The sequence below is a fragment of the Homo sapiens genome, chromosome 4 (assembly GCF_000001405.40).
Source record: "Homo sapiens chromosome 4, GRCh38.p14 Primary Assembly".
Taxonomy (NCBI): Eukaryota; Metazoa; Chordata; class Mammalia; order Primates; family Hominidae; genus Homo; species Homo sapiens.
In genome coordinates this window covers 2,165,744-2,192,629 of record NC_000004.12, presented here as the reverse complement: position 1 = coordinate 2,192,629, position 26,886 = coordinate 2,165,744, and the positions used below count along the sequence as shown (strand labels likewise).

Genomic DNA, 26,886 nt, shown 5'->3' with positions numbered 1-26,886 from the left:
ACAGTGGGTCACACCTGTAATCCCAGCACTTTGGGAGGCTGAGGCAGGCGGATCACGAGGTCAGGAGTTCAAGACCAGCCTGGGCAACATGGTGAAACCCTGTCTCTACTAAAAATACAAAAATTAGCCAGGCTTGGTGGCTCATGCCTGTAATCCTAGCTACTCAAGAGGCTGAGGCAGGAGAATTGCTTGAGCCCAGGAGGTGGAGGTTGCAGTGAGCCACCGCACTCCAGCCTGGGGGACAGAGTGAGATTCCGTCTCAGGAGAAATAAAAAAACTAGATGGACAGCTAAGTGGTAAAACAAATATAGCAAAAATATTCATTGTAGAATCTAGGTGGTGGACATGTGTGTTCACTGTATGATTCTTTTCAAATTATATATTTGAAAATGTTCATAATAAATGTTGGAAAAAGCCCTTTTTATTGTCAAAAATTTCTAACATATACAAAAGTAGGCATCACCCAGTTTCAACAATTATCAATTTCCAGCCAATTTTTTTTTTTTTTTTTTTTTGAGATGGAGTCTCGCTCTGTCGCCCAGGCTAGAGTGCAGTTGCATGATCTTGGCTCACTGCAACCTCTATCTCCCTGGTTCAAGTGATTCTCTCCTGCCTCAGCCTCCCGAGTAGGTGGGACTACAGGTGTGCGCCACCATGAGTGGCTAATTTTTGTATTTTTAGTAGAGATGGGGTTTCACCATGCTGGCCAGGCTAGTCTTGAACTCCTGACCTTGTGATCTCCCCGCCTCGGCCTCCCAAAGTGACCCACTGCGCCTGGCTCCAGCCAATCTTTTGCTCTATAACTCCCCATACTTCCAAACTGCCACTTCCTGGATCCTTTGTAGCAAAACCCAAACATCATGTGATTCATCTCTAAATATTTCAATTGTATGACTAAAATGTGAGATTCTGTTTTTAAGACAACACCATCATCTCTCCCCACCCCCAAGCAAAATAACCAATAATCTTTTATTCTTTTTTTTCCTTCTAAAAATTTTACTGAATCATAATAGATATACATATTTTGGGGGAACTTGTGATATTTTGATACATTCATATAATGTGTAATAATCAAATCCGGGTAAATGGGATATCTATCACCTTAAACATTTATCTTTTCTTTATACTGGGAATATTTGAATTTTCCTTTACTAGCTATTTTGAAATATACAATAGATTATTGTTTACTATAGTCACTCTACTGATTTACTGAACACCAGGTCTTCTTTCTTCTGCCTAACTATGTATTTGTAACCGTTAATCAACTACTCTTAATCCCACCCACCGCCCCCTTACCCTTCCTGACCTCTGGTAACCACCAATCTACTCTACCTTCATGAGATCTGCTTTCTCAGCTCCTACATATGAGCGATATTTATCTTTCTGTGCTTGGCTTATTTCACTTAACATGGTGATCTCCAGCTCCATCCATGTTGCTGCAAATGACAGGATTTCATTCTTTTTTATGGCTGAATAGTAATACCACATTTTCTTTATTTATCTGTTGATGGACACTCAGGTTAATTCCTTATTTTGGCTATTGTGAATAGTACTGCAGTAACATGGGAATGCAGATATCGCTCTGATATGTTGATTCTTTTGAATATATACCCAGGAGTGGGATTGCTGGATCATATGGTAGTTCTATTTCGTTTTTTGAGGAACCTACGTACTGTTTTCCATAGTGGCTGTACTAATTTACTTTCCTACCAATAGTGTATGAGGGTTCCCCTTTCTCCATATCCTCACCAGTATCTGTTATTCCCTATCTTTTTGATGAAAGTCGTTTTAAATTGGGGTGAGATGATATCTCATTGTGATTTTCCTTGCATTTTTCTTATGATTAGTGATGTTGAACATTTTTAAATATTCTTGTTGGCCTTTTGTATATCTTCTTTTCAGAAATGTCTATTCAAATCATTTGCCTATTTTTAAATCATGTTTTCCCCCTATTGAGCTGTTTGAGTTCCTTTTATATCCTGGTTGTTAATCCACTATCAGATGGATAGTTTGCAAATATTTTCTTCCATTCTGTGAGTTGTCTGTTCACTCTATTGTTTCCTTTGCTGTACAGCTTTTGCTTGATGTAATTTCATTTGTCTGTTTTTGCTTTTGTTGCCTATACTTTTGAAGTTGTAGTAAAAAAAAAAAAATCATTGCCCAGACAAATGCACTGGAGCATTTTCCCAATGTTTTCTTCCAGATGTTTCATAGTTTCAGGTCTTAGATTTAAGTCCTTAATCCATTTTGATTTGATTTTTGTATATGGTGAGAGATAGGAGTCTAGTTTCATTCTTCTGCATGTGATTTTCCCAGCACTTTTCCCCAATATATATTCTTGGAGCCTGTCAAAAATGAATTGGCTGTAAATGTGTTGATTTATTTCTGGGGTCTCTATTCTGTTCCATTGGTCTGCGTGTCGGTTTTATGTCAGTACCATGCTGTCTTGGTTACTATAGCTTTGTAGTATAATTTGAAGTCAGGTAGTGTGGGTGATTCCTCCAGCTTTGTTGTTTTTGCTCATGATTGCTTTGGCTATTCAGGGTGTTTGGTTCCATACAGATTTTAGGCATTTTTGTCCTATTTCTTTTTTTTTTTTTTTTTTTGAGATGGAGTCTTGCTCTGTTGCCAGGCTGGATTGCAGTGGCGTGATCTCAGCTCACTGCAACCTCTACCTCCTGGGTTCAAGTGATTCTTGTGCCTCAGACTCTGAAGTAGCTGGGACTATAGGCACTCGCCACCACACCTAATTTTTGTATTTTTAGTAGAGACGGGGTTTCACCATGTTGGCCAGGATGGTCTTGATCTCCTGACCTCGTGATCCACCCGCCTTGGTCTCCTAAAGTGCTGGGATTACAGGCGTGAGCCACCGCGCCTGGCCTTTTTGTCCTATTTCTGTGAAGAATGTCATTGGTTGGTATTTTGATAGAGATTGCATTGACTCTTTGATTGCTTCATGTAACATTGATTTTTTTTCTTTTTTTTTTGTTTGAGATGGAGTCTCTCTCTGTCGCCCAGGCTGGAGTGCAGTGGCACAATCTTGGCTTACTGCAAGCTCTGCCTCCTGGGTTCACGCCATTCTCCTGCCTCAGCCTCCCAAGTAGCTGGGACTACAGGCGCCCGCCACCATGCCTGGCTAATTTTTTGTATTTTTGGTAGAGACGGGGTTTCACCATGTTAGCCAGGATGGTCTCGTTCTCCTGACCTCGTGATCCACCCACCTCAGCCTCCCAAAGTGCTGGGATTACAGGCGTGAGCCACTGTGCCTGGCCGGTAACATTGATATTTTAACAATATTAATTCTTGCATTTCCTCACTTTTATTCTATGTAAGTCTGTATAAGTAAAGTGGGTTTCTAGTAAGCAGGAAATAGTTGTGTCTTATTTCCTTATCCATTCAGCTATTCTATGTCTTTTAATTGAAGAATTTAGTCCATTTACATTCAATGTTATTGGTAGGTGAGGACTTATTACTACCATTTTGTTACTTGTGGTTAAGTGATTTTCTCTGGTAGTATCTTTTAATTTGTAGCTTTTTGTGTGTGTGTGTATTTATTATAGGTTTTTGCTTTGTGGTTACAAAAACCAGTAATAAATACACTAAAAATAAAAAGGAGCCTTACAAAAAAAATCTTATAGTTATAACAAGTTGTTTTAAACAGATGACAACTTATCTTTATTTACAAAGAAAAGAATAGAAACAAACAAATAAAGGAAAAACTAAAAAATCTTTACACTTTAATTCCACCCCCTACACACATTTTGACTTTTTGTTGCCTCGATTTATGTGTTTTTATATGGCCCATCTCTTAACACGTTACCATAGCTATTACTGTTTTTTATAGATTTATCTTTTAATCTTCACACTGGAGTTATGGTGGATTGCATACCACAATTTCAGTGTTAGAGTATGCTGAGTTTGTCTGTGTATTTACTTTTACCAGTGGGTTTCAATCCTTCAAATGTTTTCTTTTTGTATGTTCGTGGTTTTTTTTTGTTTTGTTTTGTTTTTTTGTTTTTTGTTTTTTTTGAGATGGAGTCTCCTTCTGTTGCCCAGGCTGGAGTGCAGTGGCGCAATCTCGGCTCACTGCAAGCTCCGCCTCCCAGGTTCACGCCATTCTCCTGCCTCAGCCTCCCGAGTAGCTGGGACTACAGGCGCCCGCCACCAGGCCCGGCTAATTTTTTTGTATTTTTAGTAGAGATGGGGTTTCACTGTGTTAGCCAGGATGGTCTTGATCTCCTGACCTCGTGATCTGCCCACCTCGGCCTCCCAAAGTGCTGGGATTACAGGCGTGAGCCACTGCGCCCGGCCCGTGTTTTTTTCTTTCAGATTGAAGAACTCCTTTTAGCATATCTTGGAAGATGGGTCTGGTGGTGATGAATTTCCTCAGTTTTTGTTTGTCTGGGGCTTTATCTCTTTTTCACGTGTGAAGGATAGCTTTGCTGGGCACAGAATTCTTGGGTGACAGTTGTCTTTTGTTTTGTTTTCCTTTTTATTGGGGAGGGGTTGGCAGGGAGATGGGGTCTCACTCTGTCACCCAGGCTGGAATGCAGTGGTGTGATCATAGCTCACTGTAACCTCAAATTCCTGGGCTGAAGTGATCCTCCTGCATCAGCCTTCCAAGTAGTCGGGACTATAGGTGTGTTCTACCACACCCAGATAATTTTTTTATTTTTATTTTGTAGAGACAGGGGTCTCACTATGTTGTCCTGGCTGCTGTTGAACTCCTAGCCTGAAGCAATCCTCCTGCCTTGGGCTCCCAAAGTGTTGGGATTACAGGTGTCAGCCACCAAGCCTGGCAGTTGTCTTTTCTTTCAGCACTTTGAATAGGTTATCCCACTCCCTCCTTCTGTTGAGAAACCTGTTGCCAGATGAATTGGAGCTCCTTTATATGTTATTTGTTCTTTTCTCTTGCTGTTTTTGGGGTCCTTTCTTTGTCCTTGACCTTTGGGGGCTTGTTTATTATATGTGTAGTGTAATATAGGGTAGTTATATTTGGGTGATTATAGGGTAGTTTTATTTGGGTTTAATCTGTTTGATCTCTGGCCTTCCTCTACCTGGATATTTATATCTTTCTCAAGATTTGGGCCAGGCGCAGTGGCTCATGCCTGTAATCCCAGCACTTTGGGAGACTGAGGCGGGTGGATCACTTGAGGTCAGGAGTTCGAGACCAGCCTGGCCAACATGGTGAAACCCTGTCTCTACTAAAAATTCAAAAGTGAGCCGGGCATGGTGGCACATACCTGTAATCCCAGATACTCGGGAGGCTGAGACAGGAGAATCACTTTAACCCAAGAGGCAGAGGTTGCAATGAGCCAAGATCAAACCATTGCACTTCCGCCTGAGCAACAGAGCAAGACTCCATCTAAACAAACAAACAAACAAAACAAACAAACAAAAAATTTGGGAAGTTTTCTGTTATTATTTTTTGAATAAGCTTTCTATTCCTTGCTCTTGCTCTGCTTCATCTTGAACACCACTAATTCTTAGATTTGCTCTTTTGAGGCAATTTTCTATATCTTATAGGTGTCCTTCTTTTCTCTTCTCTCTTTTCTTTTTACTCCTCTGTGTCTTTTCCAGTAGTCTATCTTCAGACCCACTGATTGTTTTCTCTGCTTGATCCATTCTGCTGTTGAGAGCCTCTATTGAATTTTTCAGTTCAGCAAATATATTTCTCAGTTCCAGGATTTCTGTTTGATTTTTTAAATTAAGTCAACCTCTGTTAAATTTTTCTGATTAATTTCTGGGTTTTTCTGTGTTATTTTAGAGATCACTGAGTTTCCTTAAAACTGCAATTTTGAATTCTTGATCAAAGAGCTTCACTGTCGCCATCCTGTTAAGGTCAGTCACTGGCTCCTTGCTTTGTCTGGTTTGAGAATGTCATGGTTCCCCACTTGCTATTATTTCTTGTGAATGTACGTCTATTTCTTTGCATTGAAGGATTCGTTTTTTTGTTCCAATCTTCTCTGTCTGGTTTGTTTTGGTTTTTTATTAGGTATGTTTGCTCAGAGATTTTTGGTCAATATACCTGTTAAATATCTTTTTGTTTTTGCTAGGTCCTTGCTTCCTTTTCAGCACTAGGTGGCACCTTAAGCCCAGGTGTGCCTCGGCTCTAGCAAACTTCAGAGCGCTCCCCATCCCTGATGAGGAAAGTCCCTAAGGGAATACCTCGCAGTATGGGAAGGCTAGCCGGGAGTTCATGCCCAGGGGACCTGTAGGATGTACCTCCTACAACATGGTCCTACTGACCAGCCTTTCTGATTTGGTGTCTCCTCTGTCTATGGTACAGAGCCGAGTGTCTGCTAGTCTCTACCACTGCCCATTTCTGGCTGTCCTCAGGGATATTTCTCCCTTCAGACACTCATGATGCTTCCTGTGGATTGTGGCAGGGACGGGTCTCCTGCCAGGGGGCCCAAGATGATGGGAAAGTTGATTGTCCACCTCAGTCTCACTTTTTTCAGTTTAGTAACTGAATTGGGAGAAGTTTTTCTACATGTTTGGTGACTGGCAGATTGGGGAAGGGACATAAAGTCTGATTCTCTTACTGTCTGCATGGAGTTTTTTCACTTCTGTGTGGCCTTGGAAACTGTGTCATCCTTATATTTGGGTTCTGGGATATTGCTGGTGATAATCTTGGTGCTGTATATTGGTTTTTGCTTTTTCTGTGAAGGAGAGTGAAGCCGGCTTTCTTGTGTTCTACCATTTTGGTAACATCACTCTATTACCAATAATCTCTTTTTATTATTAGCTGTCTAGTCAGTGTTTGCACTTCCCTAGTTGTTCTATAACTGTTTTTGTTTATTTGTTTTGTTTTTTTACAGTTTGTTTTAACTGGGGCCCAAAGCCCGTAACTTGTATTTCTTTTTGTTTATTTGTTTGTTTTTGAGATGGAGTCTCGCTCTGTCACTCAGGCTAGAGTGCAATGGTGCAATCTTGGCTCACTGCAACCTCTGCCTCCTGGGTTCAAGCAATTCTCCTGACTCAGCCTCTTGAGTAGCTGGGATTACAGGCACGTGCCACCATGCCTGGCTAATTTTTTATATTTTTGGTAGAGAGGGGTTTCACCATGTTGGCCAGGCTGGTCTCGAACTCCTGACCTCAAGTAATCTGCCTGCCTCGGCCTCCCAAAGTGCTGGGATTACAGGCATGGGCCACCGCGCCCAGCCAGGTGTGCTTGTATTTGTTAAGCCTCTTTTCATCTATATGTTCTCCCTTCCTCTGTCTTACACTCTTGCAGTTGTTTTGGTGTTCAAGAAACCAGATTGTTTGTCCTGTAGAATTTCTCACAGTCTGGATTTTACTGAGCACATCTCTTTCTTCTCATTTAATATGTTATCTCTCTTCTATTTCCTGTAAATTGGCAATTAGATCCAGATGCCTGATCAGATTCAGGTTAGATTTGGGAGAGAAAGACTACATAAGTGTTGTATACGTTTGTCAGGAGGTATATAATGTTTGGATGTTTATCTTTTTTTGTGATGTTAGAAGCTACTGCTTGTCATTGTCTAGGTTCCTTAATTGCAACATGGTGATATTTAAGATCTATTATGCTTTCTTCATTTATTAGCTATAACACTTACATAAAGAGAAATCCCCTTTTATCATCTATTTGGTTACCCTAAGTACACTTCATATAGAAAAGCCAAGATAAAATTTGATTATTTTCCTTTATTTACCCGTTTTCAAAATAATGAATTGTTTCATAGAATCACCAAAAGGTGATCAAAAAAAGCCTTTTTCATTTTAGTATCATTATGAGCATATGGATTTAAATATATTTGATATGTTTTGACACATTGCACATGATCTTTGATGAGTTAGGTGAGCCTTTGTCATACAAACCTAGTAATCTGGGCATCTTCTTTGATTTGTGGTATGGTAGGATGTTTCCAGGTCATCTTGTGCATTTCCTGCTCTAGACCTGAAATTAGCCATTTCTTCAAGGAGCCCTGTTACATTAGTGAAAATGGCATTTAGAGACCAGAATCTGGTCACTGGATATGTACCTCACTATTAGGTTGACTTTTGTTACCAGGCTAAGATGTTTGTATTTTTTTTTAAGATAAAATATACTGTGAGTTCATACTGATATTTCTAATTCATGTTCAGGATGACAGGGTTTTTACTTAACCTTATTGATCTCCTTTAAAACATACTGAAGAATCCTTTGTACTTGGAGGTCAGTTTGGCTGTATATAAGATCACTGGTTTACATCTTTCTTTGTATTTCTAAAATATGCTATACTATTGTTTTTTGGCATAAAGTGGTGCTTTCAGAAAGTGTGGTGAAAATCTGATTCTCTTTCCCTAATTAGTGACTTGGTCTTTTTGTCTGAATGTCCAAAGGTTTTTGTTTGTTTTGTTTTCCTTTTTTTTTTTAAAGTCTAGTGTTTTACTAGACTGTGTCTTGGTGTTGGCTGTTTTGGGTCAATTTTGCAAGATATGTATGTACCCTTAAAAAAAAAAAAAAAACTTTGGCTGGGCACGGTGGCTCACGTCTGTAATCCCAGCACTTTGGGAGGCGGAGACGAGTGGATCACCTGAGGTCAGGAGTTCAAGACCAGCCTGGCCAACATGGTGAAACTCCATCTCTACTAAAAATATGAAAATTAGCCGGGCATGATGGCGTGCGCCTGTAGTTCCAGCTACTCAGGAGGCTGAGGCAGAAGAATCACCTGAACCTGGCAGGCAGAGATTGCAGTGAGCAGAGATCTCGCAAGACTCTGTCTCAAAAAAAAAAAGAAAAAAAGAACACCTTGTAAATAGCTTTCTGGTATAGCTTTAAAAAATAGCGGTTTTATTAAGATATAATTTCATACCATAAAATTCACTCTTTAACTGTACAATTCAGGGGTTTTTCAAGTAATCACAGAATTGTGCATCTATCACCACTACATAATATCAGAACATTTTTGTCACCCCAAAAAAAAACCCTGTACTCCTTAGCAGCCACTCCCCATCCCCCCTTTCTCAGACTCTGGCAAGCACTAATCTGTGGTTTTTTGTCTCTGGAGTTGTGTATTCTGAATATTTAACATGAATAGAATTGCACAATATGCAACCTTTTGTCACTAGCTTATTTCATTTAGCCTGATGTAGCTTTTTGTTGTTGTTGGTTTTTAACCTAGTGTTTTAAAGGTTCATTCAAGTTGTGGCATGTATCAGTACTTTATTCCTTTTTATGGCTGAATAATATTCATATTTTGTTCATTCATCAGTTGATGAACATTTGAGTTGTTTTCACTTTTAGCTGTTATGATTAATGCTTCTATGAACTTTGGTGTAAAGGTCTTTGCGTGGACATATTTTCAACTTGCTTGCGTGTATATCTAGAAGAAGTAGAATTGCTGGGTCATGTGGTACTCTGTATTTAACATTCTGAGGAACTGCCAAACTTGTTTCCAACAAGGCTGCACCATTTTAACCAGCACTGTATATAGCACTGTAACTTCCCCACATCCTTGCCCAATACGTGTTCTTGTGTATCTTTATTTTAGTCATCCAAGTGGATGTGAAGTGTTACATCCTTATGGTTTTGGTTTGTATTATACTGATGCCTAATGATATTGGACATCTTCTCATGTGCTTATTGGCCACTTTTATATCTTTTTTTGGGGAAATGTCTGTTCAAATATTTTGCCCATTTTAAAATTGCATTGTCTTTTTATTGTTTATTTGTAAGAATTATTTATATATTCTAATATGAGTTTATTGTCAGATATACAATTTGCAAATACTTTCTCCCAATCTGTGACTTGTCTTTTTAGTTTCTTGATGTCCTTTGAAGCACACTTTTTTTTTTTTAAGGAAATCCGATTTATTTGTGTTTTCTTTTGTTATTTGTGTTTTTGGTGTCAAATCTAAGAAACTATTGTTTAATCCAAGGTCAGAAAGATTTACTCATTTTTTTTCATACAAGTTTAATCATATTCTCTCTGAGGTTAGGCTTATGATCCATTTTTGGTTAATTTTTGCATATGGTGTGAGGTAGGGGTCTGTATTAGTTTCCTAGGTCTGCTGTAACATTACCATAAACTAAGTGCTTAAAACAAAAATTTATTTTCTTACAGTTCTGGGGGCTGGAAGTCCAAATTAAGGTGTTGGCAGTTCCTTCTGGAGTCTCTGAGGGAAAATCCATTCTGTGACTCTCCCCCAGCTTCTGGTGGTGGCTGGAAGTCCTTTTCACTCCTTGACTTGTAGACACATCCCTCCAGTCTCTGCTTCCATCCTCATGTGGCCTTTTCCCTCTGCATGTCTCTATATGTCACCTTCTTTTCTGTCTCTCATAAGGACACCCATCATTGGATTTAGGGCTCACCCTAACTTAAGATGATCTCATCTCAAGATTCCTACCATAATTGTATCTGCAAAGGCCCTTATTTCAAATAAGTTCCCATTCTGAGATTCTGGGTGGAGTTATCTTTTGAGGACCACAATTCCACCCATTGTTGGTATCCAACACCATTCTTAGTACCTTTGTTGAAAATCAATCAACCACTGATGTATGGGTTTATTTCTAGACTCTTGATTCTGTTCCACTGATCTGTAGGTCTATTCTGTGTCGATACTACGCTGTATTGATTATGTATATGTCTTTATGTAGTTTAAAGTCATCTTTTTTTTTTTTTTTGAGACGGAGTCTCACTCTGTTGCCCAGGCTGGAGTGCAGTGGCGTGATCTCAGCTCACTGAAAGCTCCGCCTCCTGGGTTCACACCATTCTCCTGCCTCAGCCTCCCCAGTAGCTGGGACTGCAGGTGCCCACCACCACACCCAGCTAATTTTTTGTATTTTTAGTAGAGACAGGGTTTCACCGTGTTAGCCAAGATGGGCTCAATCTCCTGACCTCGTGATCTGCCTCTCCTGACCTCGTGATCTGCCTGCTTCGGCCTCCCAAAGTGCTAGGATTACAGGCATGAGCCACCATGCCCGGCCTAAAGTCATCTTGAATTACAGTGTTTAGTGCTGTGTTCGTTTGTTTTCTTTCCTTTGATTTCCTATTTCATATGTTGAATCTTCTTGTCTGTCTTTCATATTTATCTTTTTGTCATATTTATCATTTTTTATCCAGAATCCATTTTCAGTTTCGTCATTTCTTTTAGATTTTTTAAAATTTTATTTTATTTTATTTTTAAGTTCTGTTGGACTTGATTCTTTTTTATTTAAAAAAATATTCTGTCTTTTTTGGCTGGGCACAGTGGCTTACGCCTGTAATCCCAGCACTTTGGGAGGCTGAGGTGGGCAGATCAACTGAGGTCAGGAGTTTAAGACCAGCCTGGCCAACATGGTGAAACCCCATCTCTACTAAAAAAAACAAAAATTAGCTGGGCATGGTGGTGGGTGCCTATAATCCCAGCTACTCGGGAGGCTGAGGCAGGATAATCACTTGAACCTGAGAGGCAGAGGTTGCAGTGAGCCGAGATCATGCCATTGCTCTCCAGCTTGGGCAACAGAGCAAGACTCCATCTCAAAAAAACAAACAAAACAAACAAACAAAAAATTCCCTTTCCTTAATTCTTTTTTTTTTTACTTTAAGTAGTTAGCTATTATGTTTATTTGCTTTTGTGTCTTGCGCCAGTTTAGTTTTTATTTCTGAAATGTCTTCTTTTTTTAAATTTTCTCTCCTAGATTCTGTCATTTCTTTGTATAATTTTTCTTTTTCTAAGTCACCTAATTTCTAAGTATATTATTCGGATTTACTTACTTTTTTACAGGTTTTACTCTTTCTTAATTTTCTGAGTTTGTTTTAAATCTTATTTTGTTAGCATTTCTTTTTCAGCTACTGGCATTTTCTCCCTAGTGTGGGATTTGTCCTGGCAGGCTTCAGTTTGTCAGTTGCAAGAGATTATAGGGACCATCTCCCAGAGCATTCTTATACTGTCAGAGCTTCCCCAAGGATTTTAAAAAACATATGTTGATAACCATTACTTTTGGAATATTAAAGCATTGAAAAGGGAAGTGGAGTGAAACAGTCCTATTGGGTCAGTCCGCATCACCAGACAGTGTTGTAGAAAATCATGTGCTGCTGACGGAGACATGTGCTCCTCTTATCCAGAGCTCCAAATGTGCTACTGTAAGAGCCTTCCTAGATATCAAATGAGAAAGTCATAATACTGGCTGCTTTGGTAAATATAAATCTCTTAGACTGGTATAATTTAAAGATGCCTGAACATATAATATTTAATGTGATATGATCTAAGACTATAGTTTTATTTAAAGGCAAACTCCTTACTTTTGTATGGCACAATTCAAAATTTTAAAGTAACTTAAAAAGCAGTCACTTTAGGATTTAGTTTGTCTATTGATTTCTAGCCCGCCCCACCTCCCCAGCCTTTTATGACTCTCCCTTCATGTCTAAAGTGTTCTGGTATAAAAACTTGTTTGTTTAGCAAATATTGTATTTACTTTTTAAAAAGCATTTTCTCATGTATATCACACATAATTACAGTAATCTTTCCCCCCAGTTTTTGGATGAAGAAACTAACACTGAAGGGGCGAGGTGGCCTCCCAGGCTCAGAGGGTGATTCAGAATCCAGGCCTGGTGTTCCTTCCACAGTACCAAAGCGCCACACATTAGTTGTCTTGTAGATTTTCCACACTTCAGGGAGAATGCCAAAGTATCTTTGCCTTGCACACACTACCTGTTCAACACTCAGTGACGAGGGTGTCGTGTGTGCTCAGGCAACTCCCGCCCTTCTTCCTTTTGCTCGAGAGGCTTGGATTCCAGACTCCATGGTGCCAGACAGCCCAGTGACAGGCTGGAGGAGGGCAGGACTTGGCAGAGAGGATGCCTGAGGGAAAGAGGAGCAAGGAGGAGGGGAGGCAGGTAGCATGACCCACGACTCTGACTTCGACAGCTTTTAACATGTTTTTGAGAGATCCAAATTGCAAGTGAGCTTGGAGTCCCTCCTTTATGGCTACTTGAAATCTGCCTCTTTAATGTGACACCCACAGAGACGGGCCATGTGGGACTTGGGTTCATCGAGGCTGCCTTATCAAGGGTTCTAAATTCTGGAGAATAATGGAAAGTCACTTTGGTCCTTAGGTCTATAATTTGAGAGGATGACAATACTACTACTATTCGTTTGAACTTAAGAACTTTGTCAAAGCAGGAAAAACAACTATTGGTTTTTCTTGGGATGACTGAATGACCTTTTTCTCTTCAGTTGCTGATTTTATAGGGCTAGATCCCAGAATTGCTGCATGGCTTATAGATCCTAGTGATGCCACACCCTCTTTTGAAGATTTAGTAGAAAAATACTGTGAAAAATCCATTACAGTTAAAGTGAACAGCACATATGGAAATTCCTCAAGAAATATTGTGGTGAGTTGTTTAAGATAAAGTTTTATCAACCTTAATACATCCTATTTTTTCTGGAAGCTTTTTCTATTTTATTGATAGCCTAATAGTAAAAAGAACATTGTCAACATTCATTTTCACTTATTCAGCACAAATAGTTGTGACCTTGGCATTTCTGGTGGAGGATGTTGAATAAGGATAGGTGATGGCTGTTCTTCTATGGCACCTGTTCCTAGGAAATCTGTCCATAGTGTGACTCTTCCAGATGACTCTCTGATGTCAGTGTCACCTGCTCCATGAACAGAATGCCACTCATTGATAAATCCTTAGGGCTGGTGACGTGGCCACAGTGCCAGAGGTCCTGGGATGGCTACTCTTCAGTCTGTGTGGAGAGAATGGTCAGAACTGCCCTGGGTCTCGGGCTGGGTGCAGCAGCTCATGCCTGTAATCACAGCACTTTGGGAGGCTAAGGTGGGCCGATCACTCGAGGCCAGGAGTTCAAGACCAACCTAGCCAACCTGGTGAAACCCTGTCTCTACTAAAAATATAAAAATTAGCCAATCATGGTGGCAGGTGCCTGTAGTTCCAGCTACTCAGGAGGCTGAGGCAGGAGAATTGCTTGAACCTGGGAGGCAGAGGTTGCAGTAAGCCAAGATTGTGCCACTGAACTCCAGCCTGAGTGACAGAGTGAGACTCTGTCTCAAAAAAAAAAAAAAACTGTCTTGGGCCTCTCTCCAGGCCTTCGCCTGCTAGAGATACCCCTAGTTATCAGGAAGCACCATCTGGAAAACAAAGGCACTCACACCTTCTAGAACTGTGCCTAGAACCCAGAGAGAGAGACTTCTCAGCAGGCCCCAGAGGAGAGGTGTCTAGTGGTGGCAATGTGGCCACAGTTGGGGCCACCCTGTTCAGGCTTTCTAGTTAGCTGTCAGTGAACAGTTACATGGTAAAATCACTGCTGGAAGAACACACAGGCTACTGAGCTAGCTCAAGCAATCACAGCAAAGCAAGTGGTGATGTGAGCCCACGCCATGTACTGGGCACTGAGCTGGGGGTAAGAGGTGATGTGAGCCCAAGCTGTGTGCTGGGCACTGAGCTGGGGATAAGAGGTGATGAGAGCCCATGCTGGGCACTGGGCACTGAGCTGGGGGTAAGAGGTGATATGAGCCCGTGTCAGGCACCAGGCACTGAGCTGGGGATATTTGCCTCATGTACTTCATCCTCACAGATCATCTGTGATGTGAAGATTTGTAACAATAGGGTTTTGGGGTTATAAGTTGCAGAAATGCACTCTCCCTTAATATAAAAAGAGATTTATCAGAAGGATATGGGGTAGCCCACAGAATCAGAGGAAAGGCAGTACCAGGCCTTGGGAAGAACAGGAGCCACGCAGCCCTGAGTCCCAGGGAGCTGGAACTGGTAGGCTTGGTGGCAGCACTGAGCCATGACTTTTTCTCTGTCCAAAAGTCAAAGTTTCAGCACTTGGAGAGTGTTTTCTTTCCCTCCTTGTACCATGTGTCTACACCCCACCAGGGAGGCCAGGCATCTTGATTAGTATCCCTACCCACACTTCATGCCGTCAGGCAGGGAGACTTCTCCAAACAGAAGCTGAGATATTAGAAAGAAGGAGTTGTCCATCTCAGAATTATCAGTCCCAGTTTACAGATGAGAAAACTGAGGTATAGAAAGGTTAACGTACATGTGCCTTGCCCAGGGTCAAATTGAGGCCAGGGTTCAACTCATCCACACTCGAGGCAGAAAAGAGGCAGCCTCAGATGCAGTTCTGTTTATGTCTCATCAGCCAGATATGTCTCTGTAGTTGAGCCATGCAGGGCATGGATGAGGGTGGGAGATGGAAGTCCAGCCATTAATCATTAATCTACAGATCACAGGTTACACCATTCTCTCCAAAGAGGTGGCATGAATTGTTCAGATAAATGGAAGAGAGTTCCAGGTAGAGGGAGCAGCAGGGATATGGTAAGACTCTCAGAGAACATGGTGCCTCTATGGAGGACAGCAAGACCAACCTGGGGAGAAGGAGGCATGGCTGTGGGGAGCCAGAGAAGATTTAGGGGCTCCTCGTGCAGCTGTGCCATACCAGGGAGCTGGGCCTGTCCTGGGGGTATTCAAACTAGGAGTCACATGGTCAGTTTTGGGGTGTGGAAGGCTCCTGCAGGCAGCCAGGTAGAATTCTGCCAGGTGGCAGTCAAGAACTTGACATGGAGGGACTCTTCTGTAGGATGTTCTCCCAACATTCACAGGAGAGCCACAAGCAAGATGACTAGAAAACAATGCCAAGGTGTGTGCACTTAGCCACTGGTCCCATGGGATGTTCACTCTAATCTCAGGCCTTCAGCAGAAAATTGGGTCTGAGTGGGCTGGAGGTGGGGGATTTGTTTGGCAGAATGGGGTGTTGAAGAGGTCCTGGCACTCCAGGTTAGGGGAAGGGTAATTAGACTCTGTATTGAGGGACACATCTCATCCCATCTCCCTCTTTGTCAGCTGAACACAGACCCTTGTTTGTCATCTCCCAGGGCCTCTGTGTGCATCTCCTGGGGTGAGAATGGAGGGGTAAGTGTGGAACGTGGCAGCAGCTGTGCGTGGGTGCAAGGTGGTAAGGCTGAGAGAATGGAGCTGTGGACTCCAGAGAGGCCAGGTCTGCATTCTCCTCTCCCTGCTACCATTTAATCATTGTACCTGAGACATTAAGCTTCTTTGTGGTTCTGTTTCTCAGTCTATAAAATGAAGAAATACCCTCGGTTGGGAGGAAGTGTCCAGCTATGGATAGCTTGCACTTGCGCAGTAGAAGCACTTTCTACAGATGCGAACTTGTCTAGTCGAGGTGTTTGGTGATACTACCACGTACATGACATCTGCCATTGAAAACCTCATGGGATTTTACTAGGAAACATTTTTCAAGTCATGTCAGTTACAGACTGTGGTGAGCACTGCCACCAAGTTTATCTGATTTTTAAAAATACTTTTGCTCTTTTAAAGAATCAGAATGTACGTGAGAACCTGAAGACACTCTACAGACTTACAATGGACCTTTGCTCTAAACTGAAGGCAAGGCATTTTATTATAATTTCTGGCTGACAGAGGCTCACAAGAGATGTCTTTTCATTGGCACCCGCACTCCCAGGGAGTTTGAATGTGAAGGAAACGAAACGTTGAGTTCTAAGAACAAATTAACCTGTGCATTACTCAGAAAAGGGTTGTCTAGAATGATAAGAACTGAAGTTTTAAAAATGCTTTCTGTAGGTTGAAAACAATTGTAATATTTTTTAAAGCCTCTTTTTTAAGTGGGATGTTTCCAATGCCATAGTTAATGTAAAAGCTGAGCATTGATTTTGATTAATAGTGGGATGGACATAGCTTCACTCAACCAGAGTCTTCCTGGGAAGCAGACAGCCACTGCAATGAGCCACCAAGAAGAGCTGAGTGGAGGGACTGTGTCCAGAGGCCAGGGAGGGCAAAGGGAACCAGCCAGAAGGAGAAAGCTCCAGGGACAGGCAGTAGCTCAGCCTGTTTCCCTCCCTCCTGCCCCCTATGCCCCATCTGAGAGCAGAGGAGTGGCCCGGGTGATGTGACCTGGAGGAGCCTGCCCCGCCTTATGGGCAAGGGCAGGGCAGAGAATGGGTCTGGAGGGGCAGGAGAGAACATGAGGGCAAGAGTTGGAGGATGGAGCCTGGGACTCTCTAATGGCAGCAGGAAAACTAAAAACAATGAGACTCATGAAGAACACAGGAAGGCCCGGATAAATAGAGATTCCATGCTCTCAGGGGAGGTGGCCTGGAATAAAGATTCTAATGTTCCTCAAATTAATCCATAGTGGCAGTGAAAAATCAATGAGAATTATTGGTAAATTTTGGGAATTCAGTAAGCCTATTCTGAAATTAAAATGGTAGACTAAAAGTCCACAAATGCTTAAATCAATCTTAAAAATGAAAAAGAGTGAAGAAAATTGAGGATGGGGCTTGGCCTATCAGAATTTCTTTTTATTTCTTTTTTTCCACTTCCAATGTTTGACTTGAACCTATCTATATTTCTAACTATCTCTACTAGATCTTGGTAATAAAATAGCCTACTTAAGGGAAATAAGAGTTCATTAGGAAGAGCAAGTAAGAGGAGTCGAGGTTGGGTGGGAGACCAGCCATGCCCATGATAGGGGTCACCTTAATTCTAGCTCGACAAAATTTAGGCTTTTTGGTTGGGTGCGGTGGCTCATGCCTGTAATCCCAGCACTTCGGGAGGCCAAGGTGGGCAGATCACTTGAGGTCAGGAGTTCAAAACCAGCCTGGCCTACATGGCGAAACTCCGTCTCTACTAAAAATTTTTAAAATTAGCCTGGCATGGTGGGGGGTGCCTGTAGTCCTACCTACTCAAGAGGCTGAGACAGGAGAATCACTTGAACCCTGGAGGTGGAGGTTGCAGTGCGCTGAGATCACGCCACTGCACTCCAACCTGGGCAGCAGAGCAAGACTCTGTCTCAAAAAAAAAAAAAAAAGTAGGCTTTTCAACAAAATGCAGATACAATAATATTTAAATTGACGTTGATGTTATTTCTTCCTATTAAACAGGATTATGGTTTATGGCAACTATTTCGTACTTTGGAGCTTCCTCTGATACCAATTTTGGCAGGTAAGTTACCATAAAGATGAAGTACAGCCATTTTTCTAGAGGGTTCTTCATATTGTTTGGGATGAACATTTCTCCATACCTTACTTAGGAGTAGATAGTATATCTCATGGGCACCAGAGAGGTAGCAAGCCTATTATTTTCCCTTTCTGTAGTGAGGGGTTGGACTGCATTCCCTCTTGGTGTGGAAAGACTCGAGGTTCTGACATCTTGGTCATATGGGATCCCTTCTGTGCTGCCTGGCCAAGGAGGAGTAGGCTTCTCTAGATGTTTTATGTGTTAGTGGTTGTCTCTCATTCTGGTTTGCTGTCCTTATAACCTTGAGAACCTTCCTGCAAGAACTGATGCAGGGCTCTCTTCTGCCTTTGCCTTTGACCGCAGGTCCTGATGGGCACCACGTCAGCCAGGGGGCATTCACAGTGTGGGAAGGGCCAGGCTGGCCAGTGCGGTCCCCTCGCCCACTCCCACCTCAAAGGCCAGCTCTGTCAATGCGCCCATTTGCCTGTATGACACAGGGATCCTGACAGATCCTGTGCAGAGGTTGGCATGCAGCAGGTGCTGAGTAAATGGCAGTTGCAGTCATTATTGTCCTCATCAGGGAGCGAAGCATTTTAGTCTTTAGTAAAAAGAATACATTAATGCAAATATGATCTGGTTTGGGTTTCGAATCACAGTGATGGAAAGCCATGCCATTCAGGTGAACAAAGAGGAGATGGAGAAGACGTCAGCACTTCTTGGGGTAAGTTATTATTCCAGATGGTTTGTACTGGCCATCTCTTTCCTGCATGAGATAGTTGTTCCCAGTGGCAGGTCTAGAGTAGATTCTCCTTTTCTTCTCTTCCTTGTTTGGTGTTGACAGTGTTTCTCCCTCTTTCTGACGCCTGCAGGGGAGAACCAAGCATTGAAAAGACCTAAACAGCATCTAGTGCGTGTGTGTCCGGGGAGTTCTTTAATGGCTCCTCAGGATCCTCCTCAAAAGTTACGTTTTTCTTACAGGGACATTGTCCCCTGTAGTTTGGTGAAGGAATTCTTGGGTTTCTTGAAAAACAAAAATACAGAGATGTGTAAAGATGCATGAAAAAATACTTAAAAATGCTCTACTTCAGTTTTCTTAAGAAAACACATGTAGGTGGAGAGTGGGAAAATAGACACAGAGACTGGGAAGGGTGAGCAGTGGCGGGGCGGGGCAAAGATGAAGAGAAGCAGGCTAAAGGGTGCAAACATACAGTAAAATAAAAGAAATAAATTCAGTGTTTGATAGCAGCGTAGGATGACTGTACTTAACAAAAAGGTATTGAACTTGAATGATGGGTGCTCTGAATACCCTGACGTGACCACCACACATTATATACACGTAATACATTTTCTCATGTACCTCATACATCTGCACAAATTTTTAAAAAGGCTAAAGCACATGCCAGGAGCATCTTTAAAATAAAATGTTTAAAGGAAACCCCAATATAACCATCACCTGGTTCAAAGCACAGACTTTCCAGAGTCCTGTGTGCTTTCCCTATCAGAACCCCTTTCTTGCTGCCAAAAGTAACTGCAACCCTGACTTTTGTAGCCTTTTCATCGTTGCTTTTCTTTCTAGCTTTCCCACTTCAAAGCCTAAGCAATGTAGTTTAGCTTTGCTTTTGAACTGTAAGTAAACAGTGACTTACGTGTGGCCTTTTACCCAGCCTTCTACATCTCAGCTCCACCTGTGTTTCTGTGTGTCACTCAGTGCTGTGGAGTTTCCCGCTGTGGACTGTGCTGCCCTTGGTGTCTCTGTCCCACTGCCGATAGGCGTGTGGTTGTTTCCAAGTGGCAGTCGTTACAAACCACGCTGTACCTCTGAGTGCATTCCCTGTGCCTGTGGGCACAGGTTTCTGTGGGCTGTGAGGTGACTAGTGCTGCTGGGACACAGGGAAGCTGTTGCTTAGTTTTATTCAATAATGCCCAATGGCTTCCCAGAGTCTCACCCATGAGAATGCATACGGGATCCCATTCTTGCACATCCTCACTTCCCCTGGGTGCATCAGACTTTTACATTGTAGCCATTTTGGTGAGGCTATAATGATATCTCATTATGAGTTTTGTTTCTATTTTCCTGATTACTAATGTCAACCAAGAAGAGGTGAAAGAGCAGACTGCAAAGCAGTTAGACAAGGCATTCCTGGGGTCTTAGAAACTGCAATTCAGGAGACACAGGTTCAGCTAAAGGCCAATAAGTGTTCTGAAGAGAGGAAGGGGAGTTGAGATTTTTAAAAGGAAGCTAAGGGCGAATACACAGTTGTTGTGAAAGAATTATCATTGTTGGAGGCGGTTGGCTTAGTACATGAGTCCGTTGAGCTCATTGGTTGTCGCTCTTCAGAAGGTGCAGCACTGGCAAAATCTAGCTGTTTTCCAGGATGTTGTGGTCATTGCAGTTGAGCCCAGTTCAGAGGTTCAATTCAAGTTCCTGTTTTTTGTTTTTGTTTTTGTTTTTCAGCATTTCAGGTCATGCAGGCAGTCCTTAGAATGGCTCCCTGACTCTACTTTAGAGCTCTGGACCAGAGTGATATCATTTTTGTATGTCACATTTCACATTAGTGGGATCGATTAGCTTTTCATAGCATCATTAGCTTTTAGGAATTTCTTTTTGTAAAGGATCTGCTCAAGTCTTTTGCCCATTTTTATATTTTTTCTTACTGATGTATAGGATATCCTGATGTATTCTGGATACAAGCCTGTTTCCTATACTTTCTACCTCTGTCTTGTTCTATGTGATGTTGGATCCCTTTTCTAGTCTTAATATTGTTGGAGAATTGATTCTTTCTTTCCCATTATTTTTACTACTTTAAGTTTGTTTTCTTACCTTTGGGGGAGGATGCTTCTATGAGCCTAGGTATTTCACCATGAGGCAAAATATGTTTATTTTTATTTTTATTTTTTTGTAGAGATGAGGTCTCACTATGTTGCCCAGGCTGGGCTCAAACTCCTGGGCTCAAGACACCCACCTGCCTCGGCCTCCCAAAGTGCTGGGATCACCGGTGTGAACCACCGTGCCTGGCCAAAGTGTGTATTTTTATGCTTATTTTGATAAATTATAGGTTATTTATTACTCTTTTAAGAGCTTTCTTTGGGAATTTTGTGTGTATGTGTTTGTTTGTTGAGACAGTGTCTCACTGTCACACAGGCTGCAGTGCAATGGCACAGTTATAACTCACTGCAACCTTGAACCCTCGGGTTCATACAATCCTCCCACCTCAGCCTCCCAAGCAGCTAGGACCACAGGTGTGTACCACCATGCCTGGCTAATTTTTTTTTTTTTTTTTTTTTTTTAGTGGTGGGGTCGCACTATGTTGCCCAGGCTGGTCTCAAACTCCTGGTCTCAAGTGATCCTCCTGCCTCAGCCTCCCAAAGGGCTGGTATCACAGGCATAAGCCACCGTGCCCATCTCGCTGTTGAGAATTGTTTGATGAACAAATTAAACAATCTTAAATTGTGAAAACTATGAATGAAATTAATTGTGTGTATCATATTTTCAGGCTCGTCTCAAGGAATTGGAGCAAGAAGCTCATTTTGTTGCAGGAGAACGGTTTCTTATAACGAGCAATAACCAGCTTCGAGAGGTAAAGCTGAATTTTGGTTCTTTCATAAAATGTATTTCTTATTCAGGAGTTAAAGGGAGATTTATTTTGAATTTATAAGTATTATTTTATGTCAACTATCTGAAAAGTAAGTTTTTCATGTTCTCTCACAAGTAATGAACACATTGAGATTCATTACTTCAAAGCCTTTAACTTGTAGAAAAGTACTAAATGAGAATTTAAGCATGTTGTAATGTCTGTTTGGGTGTGTCTTCTCTGGCTGTTGGCATGGGCTCTGCTATAGTAATGTTCTGTTTCTCTCAAATGTGAGATTCCCTCACCATGTTTAATTTGTTTTGTTGAAGATCCTCTTTGGCAAGTTAAAGCTGCACCTGCTGAGTCAAAGGAACAGTCTCCCCAGAACGGGGTTGCAGAAATACCCGTCTACATCAGAAGCAGTGGTAAGGTTTCAGAGTTATCCTTTTTCTTTTTAGAATGACAGCATGTCTGCACCACATGTGTGCTGACCTTCAGACCCACCCGAGACTCTCAGGCCGTCCCCTCATGCTGGCAGCAGTTTCTGCAGAAGAGGGGCTCCCCACACCAAGGTTGCTTTTCTCGCTATGGACCAAGGGAGAGAGGCAGACAGTACACTTTTGCAGAAGCAGTTAATTGGCTTGACTTCCTGAAAAGCATAATTTGGTGGAGTTTTGTTCTTAAAACCAATTTCTTGACAATCCAGTCACAACCTCTTTGCTTCGTGTCCCCAAGAGGAACTAGAAACGGGTCATCAGTCTTCTCCTTTCCTCAGATTTATTTTAGAGAATTTTACCTACCCCTCTCTTGAGAGGAATCAATTTTTTTTGAAGACAAGGAGTAGTGAGATTGTGCTGTGTTGGAGTGGGAGAGTATAGATCGATATTCAGAAGACAGTGAGTGCTTTTACTGAAAAGACACAGAGTGGAAGTCAGTAAATAAGTGAATTCATGTTATTGTGAATATTGGTTACTGTGGTGAGAACCAGCTTCTGAGGCTCCAGTTTGTGCTTTCTGTGCTCTGTCCAGCATTCGACTTTGTAACAGAGGAAGGTTTCCTTCTAAGATGTCTCCTCTGGCCCTATTCCCTCTCCAGCACCACGTTCCTCCAGTCTCCGCCCTGTGAGGGTGTCTTAGAGTACAGGCCCTCAAGGAGCCTGAGCTCGTTGACTGTGCCTGCACTTGGCCTTTGCTGGTTTAATGGACAGTTACTGGGTGAATAATGGACTCCCACAGAGGATGCTCCACTGGAGGGACTTGAAACTGCCCTCTTCCAAATCCTCTTCTTCTTCAAGCTTTCTCCACCTTAGTGAAGGGCCCGTCCTCCTTCCAGGTCCTTGGGAGCCAGTACAGAGTAGTAAGTAAGAACAAGGGCAGTGGGGTCAGCCATCACTGGCCAGCATGGTTTGGACAACATGAAAACATTGCTCGACTGCTCTGTGCCTCAGTTTCCTGATCTATAAAAGAAAAATAATAATAGTACTTTCCCTACTGGAATCTTGTAAGGCTTCAGTGTGTGTGCGTGTGTGTGTGTCCATGTGTCTGTGTGAAACAGCACTTAGGACCGTGCCAGACGTAAAAGCTCTCAAAAGACCAGTAAGCATCGGCCATTCTGAGAAAAGTCCTGTGAGTCGTCCTTGACTTTCCTTCCGCCTCCTCTCACAGTGAGTGTCAAGGTCTCTACCCACAAAATAGGTCCTGAGCATGCCTCCTTTTCCCCATTCCCCCGTCTCTACCATAGACCTTTCTCACTTAGATCCCTCCAACCATTCTTGCCCCTGCTGCTCATCCTTCACACCTAGAGTGATCCTTTAAAAGCATTGGAAAAGTCACGTTACTGCCCTAGGACTTCCAGTAGCTTCTATTGCACTTAGCATCAAATCTGAGCTGCAGAGCGTATCCCCAGGCCCGTGCTCTGGCTGTGCCTTCCTGGCCCGGCACCTCCTCTCTCCCCCCACTCCAGCGCCTGCTGAGCTGCCTGCAGCTCTGTGCGCCAGCTCCTTCTCTGTCCCCAGACTCGTGCCACAAATTTTTCCTGCTTGCTTCTGATTGTCAGCTTAAACATTGTGTTCAGGAGACCTCTGGTCACCCAGACTACAGTAAGGCCCCAAGTCACAGCTGTTTCTTCACCTTGAGTTATTTTCTGCACACAACTCACCACTACCTAAAGTTTATCTTAGGTGTGTGTTTGCTTTTCCATTAGAATGTAGGTTGTGCAGATCAAAGACTTCAGTTTGTTCCCAGAACCAAACCAGCTCCTGGTGCTGAACTCAGCATCTGTGGTGTGTTCGTGGAGCACTGGGTCATATAAGATGGTTCCTGGAAGCAGCATCTGTCTTGCTGTGGAGACTAAGGCTTGGGTCTCAACACCACACAGTGGACATGGGCAGCATGCCCCAGAGCTCCAGCAGGGAGCATCCCGCACCTGCACCTGAGCTCACCTCTGTCCTGGCACCAGCTGGCACTGTTGCCCTTCCCTTTGCAACTCCCTTCCCTCTCCAGACAACCAACAGTGCAAGAAAGGACGCATCACTCTCTTCTGGTGCCGATGTGCTCTCTTGTTAAGACAACAGCTTTCACGAGGAGCTCATTTTTCTCCCATAAAGACATGATGAGCATAAATCATATTAGCCTCACTCTTTGATTTAACTGAGGAAGTCAAGTTGCTCATTCATGCATGTGAAAAGATTGGCTTGTGCCAGGTATGTGGCCAAATTCAAGATTCAGATTTCTTCTCATGACTTCTCTCCATCCTCCCTTTCCCCTTCCTGGAGGCCTTGGTGAGCGTTGTGGCTCCTCTCACCCCAGCGCCTGTCCCCTCCCTGCCCTTTTCCTCCATGAATCCATGTTTGATGTCGGGGAAACCAGCTGATGGTATCCCCTGTGTCACACACACATTTGCTGCTGCTCAGCTCCCCCAACTACATGTAGCCCTAACAGTGCATGACTTTTCTTTTGTTCCTGGGATGTTCCCAGTGCTTAGTACAATGCCTGGGACATAGTGGATGCTCAAGAAGTCACTAATGAACCCTTCAAGTTTTGAGACGTATTATTTTTTTCTCATTGTTTGACTCTACATATTTTCTCATTTCTGTTATAATTCTTTGACCATCGAGTTGTCTGGAAGTGTGTCTTAACATTTCCAAATGTGTGGGGGATTCCCAGATAGTTTTTGTTATTGATTTCTAAAAAAAAAATTTTTTTTGAGACAGAGTCTTGCTCTTGTCACCCAGGCTGGAGTGCAGTGATGTAATCTCAGCTCACTGCAACCTCCCCCTTCCAGGTTCAAGCGATTCTCCTGCCTCAGCCTCCTGAGTAGCTGGGACTATATGCACCTGCCACCACACCCAGCTAATTTTTGTACTTTCAGTAGAGATGGTGTTTCCCCATGTTGGCCAGGCTGGTCTCAAACTCCTGACCTCAGGTGACCTGCCCACCTCGGCCTCCCAAAGTGCTAGGATTACAGGCATGAGTCACCATGCCTGGCCTTGATTTCTAAATTAAATGAAGTGTGATAAGAGAACACAGTCTATGCAATGTCAGTTCTTTGACACTCACCTCAGGGTTCTCAGATGCTCCTCGTGGGCTGAAGAACACATGTCCCCTTGTACCTGTGCAGTGTAGTTTAGAGTCCTGTGGTACCTAGCTGGTCCACTCACTCCTGCTGGGGTATAGTGGGAATTCCCTCCCCTCAGCAGGCACATGATGAGTGGGAAACAAGGGTCCCTCCCTAACGAACTGAAGGAAGCTTTGGTGTTTTTTTTCTGCAGTGAAGTCACATGTTCTCAGAACATCATAAGGAGTTCAAACTCTGGGAAGATGGTCCAGCCTTGGGGTCAGGATTCCTGGACCAGCCACTCATCATTTCTGGGAGTTGCTTCTGCGACCCCTTGACTAACTGAAGTGATGGGGTCTCCAGGTCATGTGTGTGCACTGACCCACTGCTGGGCATCCAGTATGTGGGATACAGCCGTGAGCAGGACAGATGCCCTTCCTGTTTTATTCAGCAAACACTATTGTGGCCCTGGCTCTGTGTTAGACACCGTTGATGGTTTAGTGGGGAAAAGGTCTTTATCATCATGGAATATCTATTCCAGCGAGGAACTGTAACAGGGTTCTCTAGAGAAATAGAACCGGTAGGATATATGCAGATATAGATACAGATAATAGGTATATGAGAGGGGATTTGTTAGGGACATTGGTTCACGCAGTTGGGGGTGCTGTGAAGTCCCACGATAGGCCTTCTTCAAGCTGGAGACCCAGGGAAGCTGATAGTGTGGCTCAGTCCAAGCCTGAAAGCCTTGGGACAGGGAAGCTGACGGTGTAACTCTGAGTCCAAGGCTGAGTGTCGCCAGTGTGTGTACTAGAGTCCAAACACGGGAGAGTCTGGAATTCTGGTGTCCAAAGGTAGGAGAAGGGTGTCCCAGATCCAGAAGAGTGAGTGAATTCACCTTTCCTCTGTTTTTCATTCTAACTGGGCCCCTAGCTGATTGGATAGTCCCTGCCCACATTGACGCAGGTCTTCCCTGCTCAGTCCACCAACCCACATGCCAGCCTCCTCTGGAAACACTCGCACAGACACACCCGGAAATAATGCTTTACCAGCTGTCTCATTATCTCATAACCCAGTCAAGTTGACACCTAAAATTAGATATTATAAGAACCATCCAGCAGGATAAGAGCCATTAAGGTAATAACAGGGAGAGTGACACACTCCAGACTGAGTGGTCCAGAGAGAACGCTAAGGAGTTATGTGTAAGCTGAAGCTCGAAGATCAGGAAGTGCCTATGCAAGGAATAAGAACAAGGCCTTGCAATGGGAAAAGGCTCAGGCTGCTCAGGGGCTGAGGCTGGAGCCTTGTGACTGAGAAGAATGGGAGGGATGGGGTTGAGGTGAACAAGGACCCAATTCTGCTGTGCTTTGTAGGCCATGGGGAGGAATGTAGATTTTTAGAAAAATGGGTAGCCTTGGAATTGTTTAAGTAAGGGAGCAACTATGATCTTAGATTTTTTAAAAATAGACTTTAATGGCCATGTATGGTGGCTCACACCTATAATCCCAGCACGTTGGGAGGCTGAGGCAGGAGGATCACTTGAGGCCAGGAGTTCAAGACCAGCCTGGGCAACATAGTGAGACCATTTCTCTACAAAAAATTTAAAAATTAGCCAGGTATGGTGGTGCACACTGGTAGTCCCAGCTATTCGTGAGGCTGAGGTGGCAGGATCACTTGAGCTCAGTAGTTCAAGGCTGCACTGAGCAGTGATTATACCACTGCCCTCCATTCTGTGCAACAGAGTGAGACACTGTCTCAAAAAAAAAAAGACTATTTTTTAGTTTTAGGTTCACAGTAAAATTGAGCAG

General features: G+C 42.9%; 1 protein-coding gene across 1 annotated transcript in view, besides 3 other annotated features; it reads left to right on the top strand.

Annotated features, from left to right (window-relative positions):
- Positions 1-26,886, top strand: part of POLN (DNA polymerase nu) — a 170,204-nt gene that overhangs the window by 49,492 nt on the left and 93,826 nt on the right. The window contains exons 8-13 of the mRNA NM_181808.4: positions 13,165-13,322; positions 16,296-16,364; positions 17,879-17,939; positions 18,611-18,675; positions 21,449-21,532; positions 21,856-21,951. Coding sequence (NP_861524.2) covers positions 13,165-13,322; positions 16,296-16,364; positions 17,879-17,939; positions 18,611-18,675; positions 21,449-21,532; positions 21,856-21,951 — 533 coding nt within the window. The remainder of the gene's footprint in view (positions 1-13,164; positions 13,323-16,295; positions 16,365-17,878; positions 17,940-18,610; positions 18,676-21,448; positions 21,533-21,855; positions 21,952-26,886) is intronic.
- Positions 6,027-6,199: a silencer, noted in NCBI's record as "fragment chr4:2188158-2188330 (GRCh37/hg19 assembly coordinates)". NCBI's record gives its function as "represses an EF-1alpha promoter that drives an FKBP-Casp9 reporter gene in an ReSE screen in K562 erythroleukemia cells {active_cell/tissue: K562}" and the evidence as "EXISTENCE:reporter gene assay evidence [ECO:0000049][PMID:32094911]".
- Positions 17,986-19,185: an enhancer, noted in NCBI's record as "BRD4-independent group 4 enhancer chr4:2175172-2176371 (GRCh37/hg19 assembly coordinates)". NCBI's record gives its function as "activates an origin of replication core promoter dependent on BRD2, P300/CBP, MED14 and CDK7 cofactors, and independent of BRD4, by STARR-seq in HCT116 cells {active_cell/tissue: HCT116}" and the evidence as "EXISTENCE:reporter gene assay evidence [ECO:0000049][PMID:35650434]".
- Positions 24,862-24,921: a silencer, noted in NCBI's record as "silent region_15156". NCBI's record gives its function as "represses an Ori minimal core promoter by ATAC-STARR-seq in GM12878 lymphoblastoid cells {active_cell/tissue: GM12878}" and the evidence as "EXISTENCE:reporter gene assay evidence [ECO:0000049][PMID:35858748]".